Genomic DNA, 22772 nt, shown 5'->3' on the forward strand with positions numbered 1-22772 from the left:
AGCTCTTCCTTTCCCAAACCAAGTGATTGCCAAAATGCAGGAAGATTTGCCCATTTCAGTTTTCTTCTGCCATATTTCAGTGAGTTTGTCATATCGTAAATGAAGGTCATTTATGAGATGGTAATAAGGTCAGCCCTTATGGCTGCTGTGTCTTACGGGACAACACTGCATGACAAATGACAAGACCTAATGACAAAGGAGCAAAGAAAATGGCACCGTTCCTCTCCTTTGCCATCTTCTCCCGCTTGGAGCCAGCTCCACATGCATACTAAGCTTTCATTTATTTCATTTATTGATTGATTGTGCTGCTGCATGGCTCTGGGTCAAAAGATTGTAAAAATAAATAAACAAAACAAAGCAAAAAACGGATTCCTTTTGGTCTTCAGCAATGACCAACAATTCTCTCTTTTAGGTGGTGGTCACATTTGCTCTGTGGGATAAGGGCCACCCTTATTGTCATTACAGCAAATGAAACACCACGCCCTTTGTTCCTCCACCGTGGGCCACCTCCCACTCCACCATACATAGCAGGCTCTCCCTCGCCCAGACCCCATGCCAATGGGGTTTTCTGTGTTGGAGGCAGCAGAATACCCAATGAAAATGGCTTAGATCGCTGGAATTCCATGTTTCTCCTAAGACCTGTTGGGGTTGGGTAGTTCCAGGATTGGTTATCTCAGCAGTTCAAAAATGTCAGAGCTCCAGGTCAGCTTTTCTGAAATTCCTTTGGATTTCCTTCCACGGTGGCAACAGGGAGCAGTGGTTGCCGGCTCCAGACTCACTCCCGCCCACACGCAGACCCAGGGAGCAAGAGGGAGGTTCACCTCTCCTGAACCTCTTTGCATTTTAAAGAAAACCCTTCCCTAGGTGCCCGCAGCGGACATCTCTTCCTGCTCCGAGGCCAGGGCTGAGCCACAGGCGTACAGCGGTCTCACTGCACCAAGAGCATGGCCATGGCTGACTTAGAGCAATTAGGACTCAACCCCGGTCTAGAAGGCACACATCACCTCCATCATCCAGGACACATGGGAGCTAAGCTGGACAAGGTTGGGATCCTGCAGGGGAAAGAACCAGGGAGATAAAATGGTGGGAAAATTGTGCACTCCAGGCACCCCGAAAATGCCCCACGCCTCAGGGGTGCCGAAATGGACACTTTACTTCTAAGTCAGAAGCAGGGCAAATTTAGGGAAAAGACGTTGGCCTCTACAAGGGCAGATCAGCATGCTATCTAGCTTCCTAAAATGGTCAAAAGAGGACATTAACTGAATAAAGTAAAAGAAGAAAAAAAAAGGCAGCCAGGTGCTTTGTGCGGCGGAGCCCGCTGGAGGCTGGGCAAGTGATGAGTCCGGACCCGGGGAGCACCCCAGGCCAGGCTTTCCCCAACGCCCCCTGCGTCACCATCACCTCATCCTGCAGGCCCAGCTTAGGCGCCATCTCCTCTTCTGCATCCCAGAGCCCCTCACGGGTTCTCTGAGCCGGTGACGCTGGATGGCCTCTGACTCCCTCTTTTCTTGCTGAGTCCCCGAGTGCAGGGCCCAGACCCCCTGTTCCTCCTGCTGCCCTGTGATTCCAGCCACTGGCGCGCTGTCTTATCACCCACAAATGGTTGATAAATACTGGACGTCCACTAAAATCAATTCCCTTAGTATTCCGGAAGGGAAAATAATTCTGTAACTCAACAATTCCAGAGTGGTATAAAAAATATAGAGAGTAAATTTGATATCTCATTTAGAAACTGTAGGATTTGTTTAACCGCAATGGTCTCATGTGTAGAATTCTCTAGTAGGTTACAGCAAACATGGATGTATTTTTGTTTTGTTTTGTTTTAATAGACTTTATTTTTTAAGAGCCAGGTTCACAGCAAAATTGAGTGGAAAGTACAATGAATTTTCATATGTGCCCTCCCTCTCCAGAGTGTATTCTGAAACTATCAACAGTATTTGAAAATATGGGTAATGTAAATATAATACACGTTTTCAGACTTTAAAGAAAGTTAACATTATAGTTGCCTTATTTTCAAACCAGAACATACTGTAAACCACCATTTAATTTATATTGAATTGAGATTTAATGCTATGGGTACTTAAATGATTGTAAAGTTGTGCCGGAAATCCTTCTCTCCAAACAATAATTATTTAAGCAGCCAATCGTTCAACTGAGATTTACAACTATTTTCACAGAATTGCTTGAATGACAAACTGATTTTTGTACTTAAGTTATTGCCTTTTAAAAACAGATTTTGATATTGCCATTTTGTATATGTGCCTATAGTAGCTCATAAAGCACATTCGTTGACATTCTTCAAACAAATTTGGCTATGTTTTCAGATATTAGAAATACATTTCCAAGAAAATTGCCCAAGTGGACCTCATTTCTCCTGCACAGGTTTCACCTCTGGAGCAGGAGTAGGTGAAGCCCTCTTCCTCTCGGGGGTGTCAGTGTGGACCCCTGGGAAGTTAATACTACTAGTGAATGACACAAACTTTCAGACTGTCTTTGCAGATGTGTTTGCGACCTGTTGATGAGCTACAGAGGACTGTTTTTAATGGCAGATGATGGGAAATCTGCTCTCACCAAATGGCAAAAGCATAAATGCAAATTACATTTTTCTGGAGAGGGCTTTGCACCCACAGACTCAGTACATTGTCAGAGCATAGAAGCTGATTCTATTCTTGAATAAACATAGAGAAGATAAAGGAGGTCCTGAATCTTCCACACTTACCCATGTAATTACTCAATCTTTCCCTTCCTTTTGGCTTTGTCAACAAGCCAAGCCGGTTTCATGCCTTCACGGAATTCTTCCGAGATGGCAAGTGGATCATCAGGTCCTTGTTCTGTCACCATTTCCCATTACAAATATGATGTCTACCCACCGAAAATAGGAATGTATGCACTGTCTCTTGGGGCAGGGCGCTCTGTGTGACCTCACTGGGCCCACCACATGGGGACTGGGTATGAAGGCACTACATGCCATGAGCATATGTACTCATGGCTGAGCTGCCCCAGGCCCACCTCCATCTAGGGGATAACCTTGTGGCTTAGTTAATAGCAAGATCTTGGTATTCCACAGACCACGTTTCTCCTATCAGCCCAATCTTTCCACTTTCTAGCCTGGAGTCAGCAAACTTTTTCTGTTAAGGCTGAGTAGTGAAACATTTAGGCTTTACAAGGCACATAAAGTCTCTGCTGTATCCTCCTTCTTGTTCTTGCTCTTCCTCCTCTTCCTCCTTTCCTTTCTTTTTCTATTTACAGCCCTTTGAGCATATAAAAAACATTCTGAGCTTGTGGCCTGTGCAGAAATAAGCTGCAGCCTGGATAGGCCTGCTGTCTGGAGTTTGCCAACCCAAGCAAACCATTCTAACTTATCTTTCGCAGTCCTGTTTTAAGAGCTATAATTATTTATTTGCTCTTTATTCTGATCCTCCCAACTTTCTCTGAACTTTATTGTGCACATGAAAGCAAATACAAAGCTCAGTGGAAGTCAGACGGAAGCAGAACGTGCCCTTCTTGATAATTTTCAGGTGCATTCTGTTAATGAGGATACCTCACTGGTGCCCACCCTTCATATTCCTTAGAGTCTCTGATTTTTTTTGGTATGGCTTATGCCATTTCATATTGTTAGACATATTCTAGTCACCCTAAATCACTGCAATACTCTAGTCAGCAAACTACTGTTTCTTTGCTGCCTGTTTTATAAAGAAAGTTGTATTTAAATGCAGCCACACTTATCTGGTTACAAATTTTTTTGGATACATATTTCTGTGGTTGCTTTTGCTCTACAATGGCAGAGCTGAGTATTTACGTTAGAACTGTATGGTCCATAATTACTAAAAAATTTCTGCTGGTTCTTTACAGACCCCTAATCAAAACTACAATGCCATGTAGTAATGCCATGTAGTAAATGTATGCCATGATCAAGGGCATACATTTAGTGTATTATCCACTTTGCAAAACTACACTTTATCTACCTTCACTCAGGTGTTCTTGCCCTTACTCCTTCTTTCAAAAATTTAAACCAATCATCTTCTACATGAGTAGCACTTTGTTAATCTGGAGACAGAAATAGGTTGTAGTAAAATGATCCAGTTATCTTTAAGAATGAGACCATTGGTCTTATACTGTGGCATAAATACTTTGAGTGACAATCAAGATGCTTATCTTCTAAGACTGGGCTTACACACACACACACACACACACACACTTACACATACCTGCTTACTATACATTTCAGGACAAATATAAAAGTCAGCAATGAGCCATACTTAACTCTTCTATTTTGAAATTAATAAGAAAATTGTGATGTTTTCACTGCTTCTTTCTGTGCCCACACCTCCCTGGTATCTTTCTACTTCAATCTTTCTATTTTTTTTCTGAAATGCTATTATTTGTTTGTTCATTTATTTGCTTCACTCTGAATAACACACTAGACCATATTCCATGGGTTAGGGATTTTATCTTCTACCACTGTATCTCCATTATATGTTCCTGAACCACAGTAGATAATAAATAGTAGTTAAATAAACTCATTCTTATGACACAAATAGCACTCTCCTCCAAAATTTGTTTGGAGGAAAGAATCTTAAGTGCTCACAAAAATGTGAAAATACTCCAAAGACTCATTTTGTCATGGCTCCAAAGGTCTTGACTCATCCTCTTGATGTGTACCCATCCCCTGGAAATAGGAGGAGCTGGTTGAGGGATGGAAGGGCTGAATGACCCGCCTACTGACTTTCAGATCTATGTACCAAAGCAGCGTGGGATTACGAATTTCCCCAGTGCCAGCCATACCTCTGACTGTGTTCTGGATTATCTCCAATAACTGGGAGTTCAAAGCCAGGGTCACTAGGTTTCAGCTGCCGGTAGACTGCATAGAAACAGACTTCACTTTGGAGGAATGTGCATCTTAGATAGCCAGTTTGAAGGGCACAGAGAAAACAACCTGCTCTTGTTGGAGGTGGTGGTTTATTTATTCAGCAAATATTTATCAAATACATAGGCAGGGATATCAGGGAACAAAAATGACAATCATCCCTGCCCTTGTGGAACTTACTTTCTAGAGGCTGAGAGTAAAGCCAGATAATAAACAATGACATCATAAATTTTAGAATCATTTGATGTGTTAGAAGATGATACATGCCATGGATGAAAGAACAGGAGAAGAAAGATCAGGAGTGCTGGGGATACAGGCTGACATTTACACAGGCTGGGCCAGCTAAGCTTATGAAGAAGGGTAACATTTGGGCACAGATCAAAAGGGGTGAGGCAGTGATACCTGGAAAGAGGCTGTTCCAAGCAAAGGGAGATCTTGTGCAATGGCCTGTGATGAGAGAGGGCTTGGTGCATTCCAGCATGAGCATGGAAACCCACTGCCATCACAGTGAGCCCATGGGAGAATTTTAGAAAGTGGGTGCAGAAGGGCAGGGCTACACCACGTAGGGTCTTGTGGGCTCTTGAAAGAGACTGGCTTTCCCTTTGAGAGAGACAGGGAGCACTGATGAGCTCTGAGCTGAGGAGTGAAATCCAACTAATGTCACGAATGGATCACTCCTGCCGCTGCTGGGATTAGACTGCAGGGTAGAAGCTGAGGGGCCAGTTGAGAGAAGCAAGCCGGGTGCATGAGGTCAGTGGGATAAACCAGGCTAGGTAGATGTGGACATAGTGAGATGTGAGAAGATTCTAGACATATCTTGAAGATTATAGGGCCAGTAGGATTTTCTGAATAGATCAGATATTGCATGTGAGAGAAAGCAGTCAAAGACAACCTCAAGATTTTTGGGCAGTGCAACAGAAAGCATGGGATCTCCATCATCTGAGATGGGAAGGCTGAGATTAAGAAAAAAATGCACAATTTCCAATATCATTGAGTGAGTTTGGTCTTGATTGCCATCAGAGTACCCCAAGACAGCAGGACTCCTGTGGCCAAGCCCAACCACTTGGCGGCACACAGAGTCTAATGAGTGGGCAGGGTCACCCCATCAAAGCCAGACCTTCCCCTGCTGTCCGCTCCTCTTACACAAAGTGGTACAAGCACAGCTGAGGTATGCGGCAGATGGCTCTTGCTGGTGCTACTTGGCTGAGGTTACATGTCTGAAAGTTAAGAAGCGAAACAGTAAACAAAGGGATGTTTAATATTTTGATAGTTGAGATATTCATATGGAAAATGACTCATTTCCTTTTTTCAAAAAATCTGGGACAATCTGTTTGCTCTACAACTGGTCAAACAATGACCCCCTTTTTTAATAATAGCAAAACTCCTCAGGGTGGCATTCTGAGAAATCATGTGGGAGTTTATGAGAATGTAAAGGTTAACCTTAAGTAACCCAGACCACTCCCATGAGCTCCACACGTGAGTCAGATTCGGAAAGAAAAGTGCCCCGTGGGTAGTGCTGTCCATTTGCAGATAGATCTGCTCACAACTGTTTTCTCAATCTTGGAAACATTCGGTTGAGTCCACTGACTGGCTAAGAAAAGGGTTCTGTCAGGGTTGCATGCAAAGAGAGCCTAAGCCACCTTCCGGGGGTTCACTCCCCTCCATGAGTCTGCATTGTGAAACAAGGATCCCAGCTAATCCCAAAGTCTACACAGAGGATGACTTTACCTCCAAGCCCTGAGATTAAAGTAGGTCAAAGTAGACACCTTCCAGACAACAAAATAGGAAAACACCCTAGCCCACTGTAATGGGTACTATTAACAAAGCACTCTAAGATGGAGAAAGGAAACCAAGATGCTTTGCTAAAGCTTGGTGAGATGGGAGCAGAGATGAACAATGCAAACAAAAATGGCCTTCGCTCCTAATTAGGAAGTCACAAACACGATGTGTCTTTTTACATGGTTAGACAAAAGTATTACAAAAGCAAAGGGCTTGCTTTTATCAATATAGTTACTGACCAATGTTAAGCATAATTATCCCTGGGAAATAGACTTTCAAAGTACAGACAATTTCTTAAGACAAAACTCTGTGCATGTCTACTAGAAAAAGAACAAGGCCTATTCCAGGTGTTCAGAGCAGTGACCACATCGTGGCAGGTGGCAAAGTCCTACTAGAGAGATACGTGTACCATTGACAGCACCGTCGATATGTAGATACATTGGCTCACCAATATTTTGGGACAGGGCCCTAAACAATGCGAAGACAGGCTGGGCTGCAGCAGTGCCCCCTCCTTAGTTCTGTGGCAGCCAGAGAAGGCTCCTGGCTGTGGTTGGGAGGTGACGGAACAGTCAGAGCATGTGAGTCCTTCATAAAGAGAGTTTGCACTGGCAGCCTTCTTAACAAGAGGACCCATTGCTGGTTAGGATGCTTTTACAAAATTATCTCAATGAACATGGGAAGAGGCTCAGGAAACAGTTATACAATTTGGGATTATACTCCGAGTATATAACTATCACCACTTTAAAAATTAACTGTGTTTTTTTTTTTAAAGAAAATTGCACAAATTTAACTGGACATTTGTGCCAATTCATTTTTCAGAGAAAATATAAAATGCATTCTACCCTTGAAAGTGATTTTTACTTCTCAAACTTCAGCTTTAGAAAGAATAAGACCAGCTTTTGCCTGTAATCCCAACACATTGGGAAACAAAGGCAGGAGGATTGCTGGAGGCCAGGGATTCAAGACCAGCCTGGGCAACATAGCAAGACCTCACCTCTACAACAACAATAACAATAATGACATCACGAAACTTTAGCTAGTTGTAGATGCAGAGTATGCTATCACATAAGGAACACCTGAATTGGATAGAAGATCTCCCCCTGTGGGTATAACTCGTTGTTTCCGTGTTGGATAGAAGATCTCTCTGTGTGTACAATTCATGGTTTCCAAGTTGGATAAAATATCTCTCTCTGTGTGTCCAACTCGTGGCTTACATATTGGATAGAAGATCTCCCTCTAGGCATACAACTCATGGTTTCCATTTTGGATAGAACATCTTCCTTTGTGGTAAAATTCATGGTCTCCATGTTGGATAGAAGATCTCCCTCTGTGTGTACAGTTCATGGTTCCTATGTTGGATGGAATATCCCCCTCTGTGTGTACAGTTCATGGTTTCCATGTTGGATAGAACATCTGCCTCTGTGGTACAATTCATGGTGTCCATGTGGATAGAAGATCTCTCTCTGTGTGTACCATTCATGGTCTCCATGTTGCATAGAAGATCTCCCTCTGTGGTACAATTCGCAGTTTCCTAGTGGGACAGAAGATCTCCCTCTGTGGTACAATTCATGGTTTCCATGTTGCATAGAAGATCTCCCAAAGCACAACGAGCACCAGAGAATACTAGTGGTGGGCCAGCATCCTGTAGTAAAGAGGCAAAGATTCCCCTGAAACAAAAATCCTATCCAAGCATCCTTATGCAAAAAGGACCTCAACCAAATCCTCAGACCTTATATGGAAATTAACCCAAAATGGATCACAAACTTAAATGTAAAACATAAAAGTTATTAGAAAACATTTAAAAGTAAGCATAGGAGAAGATCTTTGGGACCTAGGGCCAGGCACAGTTCTTAGATTGGACACCAAAGGCATGAGTCATTAAAGAGAAAATTGATAAGCTGGACCGCATCAAAATTAGACACATGTGCTGTGCAAGAGTCTCTGAAGAGATTGAAAAGGCAAGCTACAGACTGAGGGGAAATGTTGGCACACCTCATGTCCGCCAAGGTCTTGAATCTAGAACCTATAATGAATTCTCAAAATTTAATAGGAAAAATGAAATGGGCCGAAGACATAAACAGCTGCTTTGTTGAAGAGGACAAATGACAAATAAGCACATGAGAAGAATTTTAACACCATCTGCCATTAGAAAATGCAGATTAAAGCCTCAATGAGATATCACTATACACCTGTCACAATACAAAAAATAAAAAACACTAGCAATAACACCAAATGGTGGTGGGGTGAAGAGAAACTAGATCACTCGTACATTGCTGGTGGGAATGTAAAATGATACAGCCACTCTGGAAAATAGTTTCTTACGAAGCAAACCATGCACTTACCCTAAGACTCAGTAATTCCACCCCTGAACAGCTATGCCAGAGAAATAAAGGCTTATGTTTACACAGAAACCTGTACACAAATGTTCATAGCAGCATTTCTTGTAATAATAAAAAAACACTGGAAATAACCCAAATATCTTTCAATGGGTGAATGGCTAAACAAACTGGTATGTCCACACCATTAAATAGTACTCAGTGACAAACACACAACTTGGATTACTCTCCAGTGAATTATGTGGAGTACAGAAAGCAAATCTCAAAAGACTACATAGTATATGATCATTTCAATAACATTCTTGAAATAACAAACTATTGAGAGGGAGAACTAAAAAACAGATTAGTGGTTGTCAGAGGATCATGATGGGAGATAAAAGCATTGGCTGTGGCTGTTTGAGGTCAGCAGGATGGAGACTAGTGATAGAATTGTGTTTATATTGACTATGCCAGTGGTGGTCAAACAATGCTTCACGTCTGATAAGACCACATAGAACTAAATACACACAAATGAGTGCAAGAAACATTTGGGAAATCTGAATATGGTGGATGGATTTTATCAATGCCAATATGTTGATTACCATAGCAGACTGTAGTTACACAGGATGCTGCCATTGGGGGGAACTGCAAGAAGGGTATATGAGGCTCTGTATTATTTTTTACAATTGCATAAAAATCTTCAATTTTCTTAAAATAAAAGTTTAAAAAATCTTATTCAACAGAAAATATGCAGTGTACTTGTTTCTGTCTCTGGGACCCCAGTTTTCCAGCTGTTTTCTGCCTGGAGCAACCCTGGCAAGGTGAGGTGAATGAAGTACCAGCAATAGTGGCTGATGGTGCCATCTTTGATTTCTTCTGCAGGTGAGGCCCCAAGCCAAGGCAGGACCTGAGATGTTCACTGATAAAGCCAGTTCTAGTAAGAAGCCATCCATCCTTGCTTGGAGCTGTAAACCATCCCTTCTTACCTGGCAACAAACACCCTTTAGCCAATTAATCTGAAACTAAATATGTATGTCTCCTTTAGTGTTGAGAAACCTCTCCTATTTTGGCTTTTTCCATAGTATTTGTGTCCATGTCTAAATTCTCAGAGGCAAAAGTTCTATTTTAAATGGAAAAGTCAAACAAAAGAACAAAATGTTCGATTGACCTTTAAAGACTTAGAGTTTACAGTTAATTTGGAAACCCTAACGGTTAGATTGGACACACCCTATGTTCACACTCTCCCTGTGTGTCCCTGCACTGGATGACAGGAAGAGAAAAACAAGCCAGGCTTCCAGCCACTGGCAATTAGAGCACAGCATCCAACCCGAGAAAAATCAGACTTTCCACCCAATCCCACCCAATGCTCAGCATCAAAGACGTGTCAGACAGGCTGGGCTCCACTATCCTTGGATGACTTCCTGGGTCACTGCAAAGATCTTTAAGCCTCAGAGCTACTGAAGGTAATTCTGTTTTATAATGAAGATGTTGTACTTTACATCAAAAAGGATTTCATTTTCTAATGGAAATATGTTGCATTTCTATAGATTTTGCAGTTGCATTTAAAAGACTTGGGCTGTGTGGGAGAGGGGTTGATTGGAGTTTACTTACTATAGAAACAAACTTATGGAAGCATGTTAAGATTCATTAAAAAGCACATGCTATGTTCTCACTTATAAGTGGGAGTTGAACAATGAATACACATGGACACAGGGAGGGTAACATCACACACTGGGGCCTGTTGGGGGGTGGGGGGCTAGGGGAGGGATAGCATTAGGAGAAATACCTAAGGTAGATGACAGGTTGATGCATGCAGCAAACCACCATGGCCTATGTAACAAACCTGCACGTCTTGCACATGTACGCCAGAACGTAAAGTATAACTTAAAAAAAGCACATGCTAGTCCTTAAACTACCTGGAATTCATCCTAAGAAAATAGTGAAGTATGGCTTTCAGGATTTAGCCATAAGGATATTAGTTACACTGCTGTTAGAAACAGCCTAAAAGCCAACAACAGATTGGTTAAATTATTTACAATTATATATCAGAATGATCATATAAAACTATTTTATTGATATGGAAAGATAATCACAATACAGTAAGATTTTTAAAAGGCAGTTTTTTAACAACTGAACATGATTTATGGAAATAATATAAATGTATAAATGACTATGCAGAAAGTTTGAAGAATATACGCAAAGGTATTTTATGTGTTGGTCTGTGGGTAGGATTGGGAAAGTCTTGTATTTTCTCTTGCTTATATGTCTTTTTTTTCTCGTTTTTCTTTCATGAATATTATTAACATGAGAATGACATATATATATATATATATATATATATATATAGTTTTTTGTTTGTTTGTTTGTTTGTTTGTGTTTGAGACAGAGGAGTCTCTCTCTGTTGCCCAGGCTGGAGTGCAGTGGCACCATCTCGGCTCACTGTAACCTCCACCTCTTGGGTTGAAGCAATTCTCCTGCCTAAGCCCCCCAAGTATCTGGGACTATAGGTGTGCGCCACCATGCCCAGCTAATTTTTAAATTTTTAGTAGAGACGGGGTTTCACCATATTGGCCAGGCTGGTCTCTAACTCCTAACCTTAAGTGATCTGCGCACCCTCGCCTCCCAAAGTGATGGGATTACAGGCGTGAGCCACCACGCCAGGCTGAGAATGACATAAATTTTTAAATTATGTTCTTTTATATATAATTTAATATGTACTATTTATATGTAATTAAACATATTTAATATTTATATGTAATATTTATACATAATTATATAAACACTATGTATACACTATATACATTTAAAGTAAGTATGTTAAAGCCCTAGCTTCATCACACTCAGAAGTAGGTAAAAAGGGGGAAAACATGGGTCCTGCATGGGCGTCCTCAAAGGTACCTGTTTAGAGGTATTCCCTGGAGTTGGTGATGAGATCTTAAAGTTACCTTGCATAAGAATCATTCTTATTTGCACTGTGAGCAGATTGATTGGAGGATGAGAATAAAAGGGGGTTCGTGAAACCCACATGAGGCCGAGGGAAGAGTCAGTCTTACGTGGTTTCTGCACAACCTGCTGGACCCACTCCAGGATCCAGGGAGCCCTCAGGTCAGCACGTGCTCAGACACCCACTGTTTAACCGCCAGGCATGGGGTGTGAGCTGCTCAGCCCCTCATGCTCGACTTGAGCTGGTCCTCCAACCTTGCTATTCATCTGGAATGACAAAATAGCTTGTTCTCAAAAGACCATGGCAGAGCAAAAGGGGGACATTTCCTGGAAAGCATCCACTCTACAGGAAATAAAAGGCAAAGCTGTCTTCATATTTGAAACCTGGTGGTGCCAACATCCCGGCTGCTGGTGGCCGACGTCTGGAGCACTCCCTCACATCCCCTCTCAACCCAGCACACATCACTTAGTGCCTCCTGAGTGCTGGGACCTATGGTGGGCTCTAGGAGCTCAGAGAAGAATGCAATCTTTTCTCAACAAGCAATTGCTCAGCCCCGACTCCACTGTGTGTCCCCAAAATGTACTCAGGGAAATGAATGAAAATGAGATAGGATTCTTTGGTTGAGAAGTTTCTAGTGCAGTCTTGCTGGGATGAGAGACGAAGAACTAAACCATGGTGCACGTTAGAGCCATACAGGTCTCCTTTCTATCTGAGCTCTTCCCCCAGAAGCTGTGTGTCCCTGGGCAAGTGAATCAGCCTCTTGGAGCTTCTGACTCCTCGTCTCTAAAATGAGACCTTCTGCACAGAAGGCTGTTTGGAGGACAAAACTCATGGCCAGGCACACAATAGCATTCACCAAGAAATGAATTCAGTCTACAGCCTCACATGTGGCGGGCATTCGGTAAACTGGTAAAGACGTGGTTGGTGCAGAAAAACAAAAGAACTAAAACAAGATGCTTGTAAAGCACGCAGGAGTCCTCGAGTGCAGGTCAGATTTGAGGATGGTGTAGGAAGTGGCTGGACACGGGGAAGGATCAAACATGGGGTTGTGCTTTTTCTCTCCTCAGATGTGTTTGTTTGCTTCTGAGAAAAGCAGAGTGGATACCTAGGCAGGGAATATTATTTCTCTTGCCCCAGCATTCTGGACACGTTCCATACATGTGATGGAATAATACAACATTGCTGTGAAGGCCGTCAGAAACATTACAACCACTTAGGTTGGGTCAGGCTGCCCACGGGACCCGGAGTGACCACTGTGTGGGGCTGGATGCCGCGACACCCTATGTGTCCCATGCCCCAGCTAGCAGCCCCATGTGTGCAGGGCCTTCAGTGCTGCTGGAAAATCATGAAGTCGAAAGCATATTTTCTTAGAAGGATCCATTCCTACCAGATTTGGATAAACACAGCCAACTTCACTGTCCCTAGCAACATCCCCATGACCGCGTCCCCACAAGAAAATCTGACCCAGCCTGTGGCATGGGCACTGCAGTTGCCCATCACCTAGCACCGGGCTGGCTCAGAGCTGCTGTCACCCAGGTGGGAAGAGTGTGCTCCCTAATGACCAGGCAACATCACTCCAGGCGTGAGGGCAGCAGGTGGGAAGAGAGTGCTCCCTAATGACCGGGCACATATCACTCCAGGTGTGAGGGTGGCAGGTGGGAAAAGAGTGCTCCCTAATGACCAGGCAACATCACTCCAGGCGTGAAGGCGGCAGGTGGGAAGAGAGTGCTCCCTAATGACCAGGCACATATCACTCCAGAAATGAGGGTGGCAGCTGGGAAAAGAGTGCTCCCTAATGACCAGGCACATATCACTCCAGAAATGAGGGTGGCAGCTGGGAAAAGAGTGCTCCCTAATGACCAGGCACATATCACTCCAGGCATGAGGGTGGCAGGTGGGAAGGTTCACAGATCCCTGAGCCACTGATGAATGAAGAAAATGGTTTCTTCTCCATGTTCACCAGGAAGCCTAGAGAGTTATGAGGAAGAAGAGCATTCATAGCCCTTTTCACCTCCATGGAGCTGCCAAGGATCTTCATGAAGAAAAGAAGTTAGGGACAAGTGGCCCAAGAGAAGAGAGAGGGTGTGGGTGGCCACCCAGCAGGCAGGAAGGAAACACTTGAATTTCCTTCCTTTGCATGCGTTCTTTGGGTCTATGGACATGACCAACTGGATCAGGGAAGAAAACAGAGAAATAAGGAGAGAAAATTAACAATGTGTTGTTTCCCTGCTGAATTCACAGTCCACAGAGTTGCTTCGAGTTTCACAAGTCATACTTTTTCCTTCAGTTTTGTTTTCTTCAAAAGATACTCAGGGTCTGCCTTCATCAGTATTCCAATAAGCCCATGCCGTGCACGCCTTGCCCAAAGGCCGCTGATGAAAACGCTGGCTGTGCATGGAAGGAAGTGGCAGAAAGAAACAGATTCCTATTCTTCCATAAAGCAACTTACTTGCATTCGGAACATTTCAAGTGAAAAATCCTGAGCACTTTAATTGCCCATGTTAACGAGGGCCGAGGCTGTGAGGGCTGGAGCTGCGGGGAAGGCTCCCGGCTCACTGACACGAGGGGAGCTTCACCGTGGCTCTTCGCAGGATCAGGAACTGGCATTTCAGCCTGGCGCAGCCTGGAACATGGGAAGCCACCGTGGTGCTGATGAAACTGAGGGAACCGCAAGGAGAACGAGCCAGCCCCGTGAAATATGGTGAGACAGCATGGAGCATTGACGATGCCTGTTAGGAACCTTCTCATGCCCCTGCACCTCTGCGATATCAGATGGGGACCTCGCGCATTTCAAATATGACTTGATTGTAGAAAATGATTGGTTCATCTCCTCTTCCATCCACTTTCCCATGGTGGTCTCCTTCCATTCTTCAGGCCTCTGCTCAAGTGCGACCACTTCAGGAGTCTTTCTTGCCAGCCTAGCTAGGGAAGCAGCTCTGACTGGCACTCATGAGCACCTTGCTCTGTTCCTTGGCTGCAGTCATTATTATTTGACATCCTATTTATTCATGTACCTCCTCAGTGTCTGTTCACAAGAATAGATACCACATCTGTCTACAATAGTAACTGGCATATAATAGGTGTTCAACACGTATTTATTGAAAGACGAAAAGGAATAAAGGGGCCATGGACTGCAGCAGAGTGAATGGACCCTGATATTTGTGCTTGTTTGCACACTTGTCCTATACTCACACTTCATTCCACAAAGGATTCGAGGCAGAACTAATTCTGTGGTTTGCCATAAAATTGTATTGAGTGCCTATTATTTGCAGATGTGAACATGAAAGAAGGTGGGAGAAATAGTGCAGGTGTTTAAGGTTTTGAAATGCTTTTCTATGGGCAGCACCAGTTCCTTGCAGCCCTCCAGAGTCGCATCTGATATTTGTATTCCTTGTCTCATACCTCGGGGAGAAGCCAAGGTCTATGTGGAAAAGGTTCTACATGAAATGGCTGTATTGTAAAGAAACAAAATAAAACAAAGACCCAGCTCTCCTAGGGGCTGTCTCCCGACAGTCACTTCTCCTCCTTCCAAAGCGTGGCTGTGATCCAGTGTGTGGCGCCCTCCTGCTACACCCAGAGGAAAAAGCTCCAGGAGGTTGTTGAGAAGCAGGAATGAGACAGAACAGAGGTTGAGCTGGACCACCAGGAGGCCACACCCTGCGGCTCTCATCAGTGGCATGTGGCAGATGACAGAAAGGTCAGAGTCCCCTCACGAGGCAGGTGAGTGGAGGCACAGCACAGCCTTGGCAAGTGCGGGTGAACGGTCACAAAAGCAGAAACCATCAAGCTAGTGCCGGTCCCAGGAAATGCAGCTCCACACAGGGGACGATATACCGCCCGCTGAAGAGGTCCTCAAAGCATGGCTCAGCCCAAGAAGTCCAGATCTTCCTGCCCTCTGTCTTTGGTGGAGACTCATGAGAAATACCAGTCTAGGAATGGCACCGGCATCAAGTCTTGAGGTTAATAAGGCTTTTTAACTTTGTTACATTTTTTATCTGCGTTCTTAAAAGTTGGAACAGAATAATAGTGTGGACAGCCAAAGTTTTTGACATGTGAGAGCTAGATTTTTTTTTTTCAAGATGAAGTTTTGCTCTCATTGCCCAGGCTGGAGTGTAATGGTACAATCACAGCTCACTGCAACCTCCGCCTCCTGAGTTCAAGCGATTCTCCTGTCTCAGCCTCCCAAGTAGCTGGGATTACAGCCATGCACCACCATGCCTAGCTAATTTTTGTATTTTTAGTAAAGACAGGGTTTCACCATATTGGTCAGGCTGGTCTCGAACTCCTGACCTCAAGTGATCCCCCTGCCTCAGCCTCCCAAAGTTCTGAAATTACAGGCATGAGCCACCGCACCCAGCCTAATTTTTGTATTTTTAGTAGAGACGGTGTTTCACCATGTTGGTCAGGCTGGTCTCAAACTACTGACCTCAGGTGATCTGCCCGCATCAGCCTCCCAAAGTGCTGGGATTACAGGCATGAGCCACCACACCCGGCCTGAGCTGAACTTTTTGAGGGATAACTGGTTATGAGTTTCCGGGGGGCTTAGCCTTTAAAGACTCAGGAAGTTGGTGCAAGAGCTGGTGGATAGCAGGTTGCCCTGCTCCAGGCATTCCCCTCCACAACCCCTCCAAGGAGACCAGGCAGAGTTCACCCAGGGCTGGGGAAGAGGCAGGACCAAAGAGGAGGGAGAGAGCCAGGCAGCAGTGGGCTCCTGAGAGAGGCCTCTCCCCTGGGTTGATTCCTGGTCTGGGGAGGCTACCAGAGATGACAAACCCCTCCCCAGGTTTGTGGATATGAAGACATTAGGAGTCTTCCTTGGGGAGCACACAGGAGGCAGCAAGTCTTGTGGTAAAGTCCCCTCTACCTGTGTGGTTGGGCAGCAGATGAAGGAAAAATGGCTTTACAGGGTGTCTAGACATGAGAAGACCCGAAACAGTCCCTATGTTGTCAGTGGGCACCAGGCAAGGAGGAGAAGGTGAAACATCGCAGTTTCCAGAGAGGGAAGAGAATTGGCTGAGAAAAGCTTGATGGACCCACAGGAGAGAGAAACTAAAACCTACTTCTCTTTTTAAGCACCTTGCCTGGTAGCTAGCATAGCACACGTCCATTCATTAATAAATTTGGATATTACCAGGCAATTCTAGTTTGTCTCATTTTAGACTTGCTGAGGACAAATGAACTCAAGCCAGTCGATCTTTTATATTATGCCCTAAAAAATATATGCCCACTTCTAAGGGAAAAATTAAAAAAGCATTGCTTCTCATTTTTTACATAAATTTATACAAATTCACATGGGAAGCAGAGACCTGAAAATTCATTTTCAAATATACATAATGAAAGGCATTCCCCCTGAGGAAACTCTCCCTGGTTAAAGAATTGTCAGCAGAGTGCTTCTGGGTTTTTACAGCCCAAGTTTCATAGAATATACACATCTTTTGGTACAGGATTTTTAGGCTAGCATTTGTACAGGAAAAGAAATTTATACACAACAAAAATGTAACACAACATTCTGGAATAAGGAAACATACAGGGAGACATCTCAGGCTACCTTCCAAGTGTAGCCGGGAGCAGGTCAGAACCAAAACGGCTGCTTTGATGGGCACCTTGGGGCCAACCACAGGCACAGCACAGCAAGAGGGGTTTGTGAACATAAATTCTGGGACAAAAGCACAGCTCCAGTTTGCAATTTTTCATTTTGAAGCATCAATTCCCTTTTTTTTTTTTTTTAGTCGGAGTCTCACTGCGATGCCCAGGCTGAGTGTACTGGTGCCATCTCGGCTCACTGCAACCTCCGCTTCCCAGGTTCAAGCAATTCTCCTGCCTCAGCCTCTCGAGTAGCTGGGATTACAGGCATGCACCACCATGCCTGGCTGATCTTTTTTTTTTTTTTTTTTTGTACTTTTAGTGGAGATGGGGTTTTACCATGTTGGCCAGCCTGGTCTTGAGCTCCTGACCTCAAGTGATCCGCCAATCTTGGCCTCCCAAAGTGCTGAGATTACAGGTGTGAGCCACTGCGCCCAGCCTCAATCACCTGTTTTGAAGATTTGTCATCACTTTACTCCCCAGAGATCTTTAGCTGCACCAAAATGGCAAATATAGAATAGTCATTGCCTTGAGTTTGAATCTGATATTTTGCCTGAAATTTTGGCTTCATCCTTCAACTTGTCTACACCACCACCACCAATTTTCAAACTAGTGACAAAAAAAAACCCTCTGGATCCATCTTTCTCTATAATCTTTATTTTCCTCAGCCCCATTAAAAAAATTAATTTTGCATTTATTATATCTTGCTTTACTGCAGGCACCTCTAAACTACCATAAACAAGTGGTCACTGAAATGAAGACTTAACTGAAAGCAAAGAAAGCATACTCTACCCAGTATCCTGCTTTCCCAGATACTTATCCAGTTCTTAGGATGGCAAAATTTTCATCTGTGGCTTTTGTTCCACCCCACCACTCTCTGCAATGCCATGGATGGGCTCCCAATGTGGTTTACACCACATTGGATGACACTACTACTACTAATATCTTGCTTTTAGATACAAATGTAAGTTTGAGAAACATTTTCATACACATTGTCACATTTAGTCTCACATTTAGTGTCAACTGTCAACTGTAAGGTCGGCAGGAATGGCACTATCATTTCCATTATTAATGCGAAGAACACATATCCAAGTGTGTGAAAAAAATAGCAAATTTGGGGCTCAAAAAGATTCCTAAGTGTTAGGCACTGCTTCCATGAAGTTACAAAGAATGTAGTTATCAGACGTAGTTCCTTCCCCCAAGAAGTTCACAGTCTAGTGCTGGGTATAGATTTGTAAACCAGCAAGTGTAATACAGTATGGAAAGAGCCCACCACATACATAGGAGGTTGCGTAGGAAAAGGCACAACAGACTCTATCAGCAAGAGAGAGCTGTGGAAAACCTTATAAAGGAGGCCATCTTTGGGTTCTTTGAAGAATGAGAAGACTCTAAATAGCGTAGGAAAGAAAAATAGAAGTAGGACAAAGTGATTCCAAGGAAGAAAATGTGTGTGCAAAGGCACAGAGATAATCAAAGAACTGGAAGTCTGTGCACAGGAGATGGCACTAGATGACAAAGGGCACTGAGGACCTTGACTTTGTCTTATAGCAAGTGGTAAGCCACTAAAGGATTTAACCAGGGGAAAGACAGGATCAAATCTGAATTCAAAAACATTTTGAAAGTAGAGAGGAGGATCGATTTCTAAGGAAGAGGGAAATCGTGGGCAAAATCCCAGGCAAGAAATGATTCTGGACTAAAATTAAGGCAAGGATAGCAGGAATGGAGGAGAGTGGATATGTTTGAGAGAACATTCACTGGGAGAACAAAAGTAGGGTTCATGTGCTGGAAACTTAAATCCCAATGCAACAGTGTTGAGAGGCAGAATCTTTAAGAGGTGATTAGGTCATGAGGGCTCTGCCCTTATGAATAGATTAATGCCACTATATCAGGGGTGTGTTAGTGATTTTGGAAGTGGGTCCTGAGAAAAAGGATGAATTCTGCCCCCTTGTTGTCTCTTTTGTGCTCTTGCTATCTGATGCCTTCCACCATGGGATGACACAGCAAGAAGGTTCTCACAAGATACAGCCCCTCGCTCTTGGACTTCCCAGCCTCCAGAACTGTGAGCCAAATAATTTCTATTGTTGATAAATCACCAAGTCTATGATATTTTGTTACAGCAGCACAAAACAAACTAAGACAATTGTCATTTGGATGTAGGTGATGCACATAAGGAAGAATTCCGGATGGATTCCAGATTTTAAACTCATCAAAGTTGGATGATGGTAATAACTTTAATAATGAGGGAAAGAAGCAGATGGGTCAGGGAGTGGGGAAGAGCAGGAATCAGAAAGAGGAGGTAACATGTTCAGTTTTGAGCAGTCCTTGTACACTGAGCCTCTGATGTATTCATGCAGAACTGGTGACATTTGAGCTGGAGATATGAAATCCATTTTACTGATGCCAGAGGGAGGAATGTGATGAACCATGGAGGGAATGTGATGAACCATGGAGAGAATGTGGAGTAAGCAGTAGCAGATAGGAAAGGATGTGGATATCACCCTCGTTTAAGATCGGCAGAAATAAAGTAAGATAATGAATGCAGAGAGAGAGAAAGACAACAGGAGAAAATGTTGTCAAGGAATCCAAGAAATATTTTTGAGAAGGAAGAAGAAGAAAGAACAGATGGTCACGAGGGTCAAATGCTACACCCATGTGTTAGCCAGATCTGGCACCAGAAGACAGCTGTGTCCCCACCACTGGCTGTGTCTATTGTGTGGTGAGGGGAGCTGCCAGGCAGGGTGGTGGGAATGGGAATGAATGCAAACAATGGGAGACAAGGAGAATTTTGCCTGTGAAACGAAAGGAGAGAGAGGTGATTACAACCCAGGAAGATGGTGATTCTTAAATTTTAATGTAGGAGCAAGATTTGACCATGTTGGCAAAAGAAAGGCAGCCAACGTTGATGGAGAATGAGTAGAGACTTACTGGGGAGCCTCATTGTTCCCCAATATTCTCTCTTTTTAACCCAATAGTGTGAATCATCGCCACTCTTCTAAGATCATCTCCCATCAGTCCTTTCATGGTTGAACTGAGAAAGGGCATTTGTGCTTTGGAAAGAATGTGCAGGTGGAATAAGACCTTTGCTGTGAGTATGGTTTGCTTAGGGTTAAATGCAGCTTGTATTGTTGGGAACTTGTTTGTACAAATTTTGGAAGACCATTTGCTTGCGCTGAGACGAAGTTCTTCCTCTATGTAGTTCAGGGGTGACCATGACAATTTTTTTGCCCCAAAACAGGCAGTTCTGCATGCATCCTATGTAGCATCCCAGAGGTCTTAGACACCCCTTGAGGGCTGGAGGAAAGCCAAACCCTGTAACCCACTGGGCTTGGCCATCAAGCTCCACGTGCCATTGCCACTTGTCTAATCCTGAATATGGAAGGGTTCATGTGGCACCTACTTGAAACTTAATAAGACTTTTGTTTACTTTTTTCCCCCAAAGTACAAGACAAGAAGACATTAGCTAGCATACAGATTTTAACTATCTTCTTCTATTCAGCTTCTATTAATTCTCAGAGTAACTTTTCTCCTAAGTCAGTGAATGGTGAGATTTTCGCATTCTCTTAAAACAACTTTGCATTGGAATTCAGTCTCATATTGCATCCAAAATAAACTTACATATTTAAAAAAAGCAATCTGTTCTTAATAGAACCTTTCTTATTTTTATATCACTTAATATTTTTACAACTTAGAAATATTTATTGGAAGAGTTGGTACATGTCTTGACATCTTTATAGGCTAGAGAGTACTTGGCACATAGTAGGACTGAATAAATATTTGTTGAATGAATGAAGAGTAAACAGAATAAATTAACAGTGAACATTTTGGCCACTAGAGAAAAACAGGCTGAGAAAGAGCTGTTGTCAGTTTCACAAAACCTGTCAAGAGCAGCAAATCACAATTAAACACGAAACACACACATACACACACAGATATTATCCAGTTCTATAAACAGGAGACAATTAAGGACCTACAAACTGACCTTCTAATAAATGCTAACCAAACTAGTCTTGTTCATTTCAGAGATTCTTACCTGTCAAAGCCTAAATTCAGGGCTCTGCAAACCAGTCCCCCCTGTATGAAGCCTGACAATAAATGTTAAAAAAAAATCCAGATATCAGCACAGACCCCCACATCACAGGAGGGTCCTCTGACAATCTCTCCCACTTCCTTTCCTCTACAAAGACTTCAGAAGCCAAAGCTGGACTGTCAGTATCAAAGGTCTAAATATATTGCATTTTACTCTCCCCAGCAAGCCAAGCAGCTTTGCAAACAGAGCAATGAGCTTTGGCATTCTCGAAGCACAACTGTGAACACAGCAGTAACTCAAGGTAAAACAACCTTGTGAAACAGGTCACCAACAGAGCAGCTTGTGGGCAACCAGAGCAGCTCTGTCACCAGAAGCAAACACTGCTTCACAAAGCTGTAGCGTGGAGTCCATTGACAACTGTGAGCATCTCTGAATAAGTTGTGTAAATATGGTTGTCTCCAACTAGAATAAAGGCAACATCCACTCATATCTCTTGTTGTTTTCATTAAAATGGCTATTCTGTTTATAGCTTATCCATGTTATACATGCAATTTTTAAATGAAATCATGCAATAAAACAAGAATTTGGCTGGAATGTTACTAATCTTGGATGAGTTTCAACTGAGGGCGCCAAGGGACCCTGTGCTCACTGGACAACGGGGCCCTTATCCTTGGGATTCAAGTCAGGTTCCCATGTGAACCCCAAAAAACGCACCTGGGGCTTCCTTCAGTGAGGAGGCCCTGGCTGATGTCTTCTAAAACACGGGGCCCTGGGCACTTGTCAAGTGCTTACTCAAGAAATAGATTTAAAGAAGTCCTGTAGTGTTCAGAGTCCAGTGAGCAACAACATCAAAAATAAAACAAAAACAAAACAACACACACACACACACACACGCACTACATATAACCAGGTCGATGACCTTAATATGTGTGTGGAAGGGCAGCTTAAATGAAATTGTAGATAATAAAATTCTATTTGGAGACTAGAAATAAAATTCTATTTGGAGAAATAAAATCTTTAGTAAAGTGGACATATGTGCAACAATATTTATTGCAGCTCTGTTTATAGCATCAAAAAACTGGAAATAACATAAGTGTCCATCAATAGGAGAATGGCTGAATAAAATATGGTGTTGCTACACCTCTACACCACAGAATATTATGCAGCCAGCACAAAGAATTAATTAGAATATACCAGTTGACTCAGTAAGATTTCTAGGAAGTGCTATTGATTAAGCCAAGATACAGGAAATATGTA

At 43.2% G+C, this 22772-nt stretch overlaps 1 protein-coding gene and 1 long non-coding RNA gene across 4 annotated transcripts in view; both read right to left on the reverse strand.

The window, feature by feature from the left end:
• The window catches only part of PDE10A (phosphodiesterase 10A), a 660764-nt gene that overhangs the window by 589083 nt on the left and 48909 nt on the right, over nucleotides 1-22772 (reverse strand). The window lies entirely within an intron of this gene.
• Nucleotides 7677-22772, reverse strand: part of LINC00473 (long intergenic non-protein coding RNA 473) — a 63992-nt gene continuing 48896 nt past the window's right edge. Inside the window, exon 2 of the long non-coding RNA NR_026861.1 lies at nucleotides 7677-8288. This is a non-coding gene — a long non-coding RNA (long intergenic non-protein coding RNA 473). The remainder of the gene's footprint in view (nucleotides 8289-22772) is intronic.

This window comes from Homo sapiens, chromosome 6, assembly GCF_000001405.40.
Source record: "Homo sapiens chromosome 6, GRCh38.p14 Primary Assembly".
NCBI lineage: Eukaryota > Metazoa > Chordata > Mammalia > Primates > Hominidae > Homo > Homo sapiens.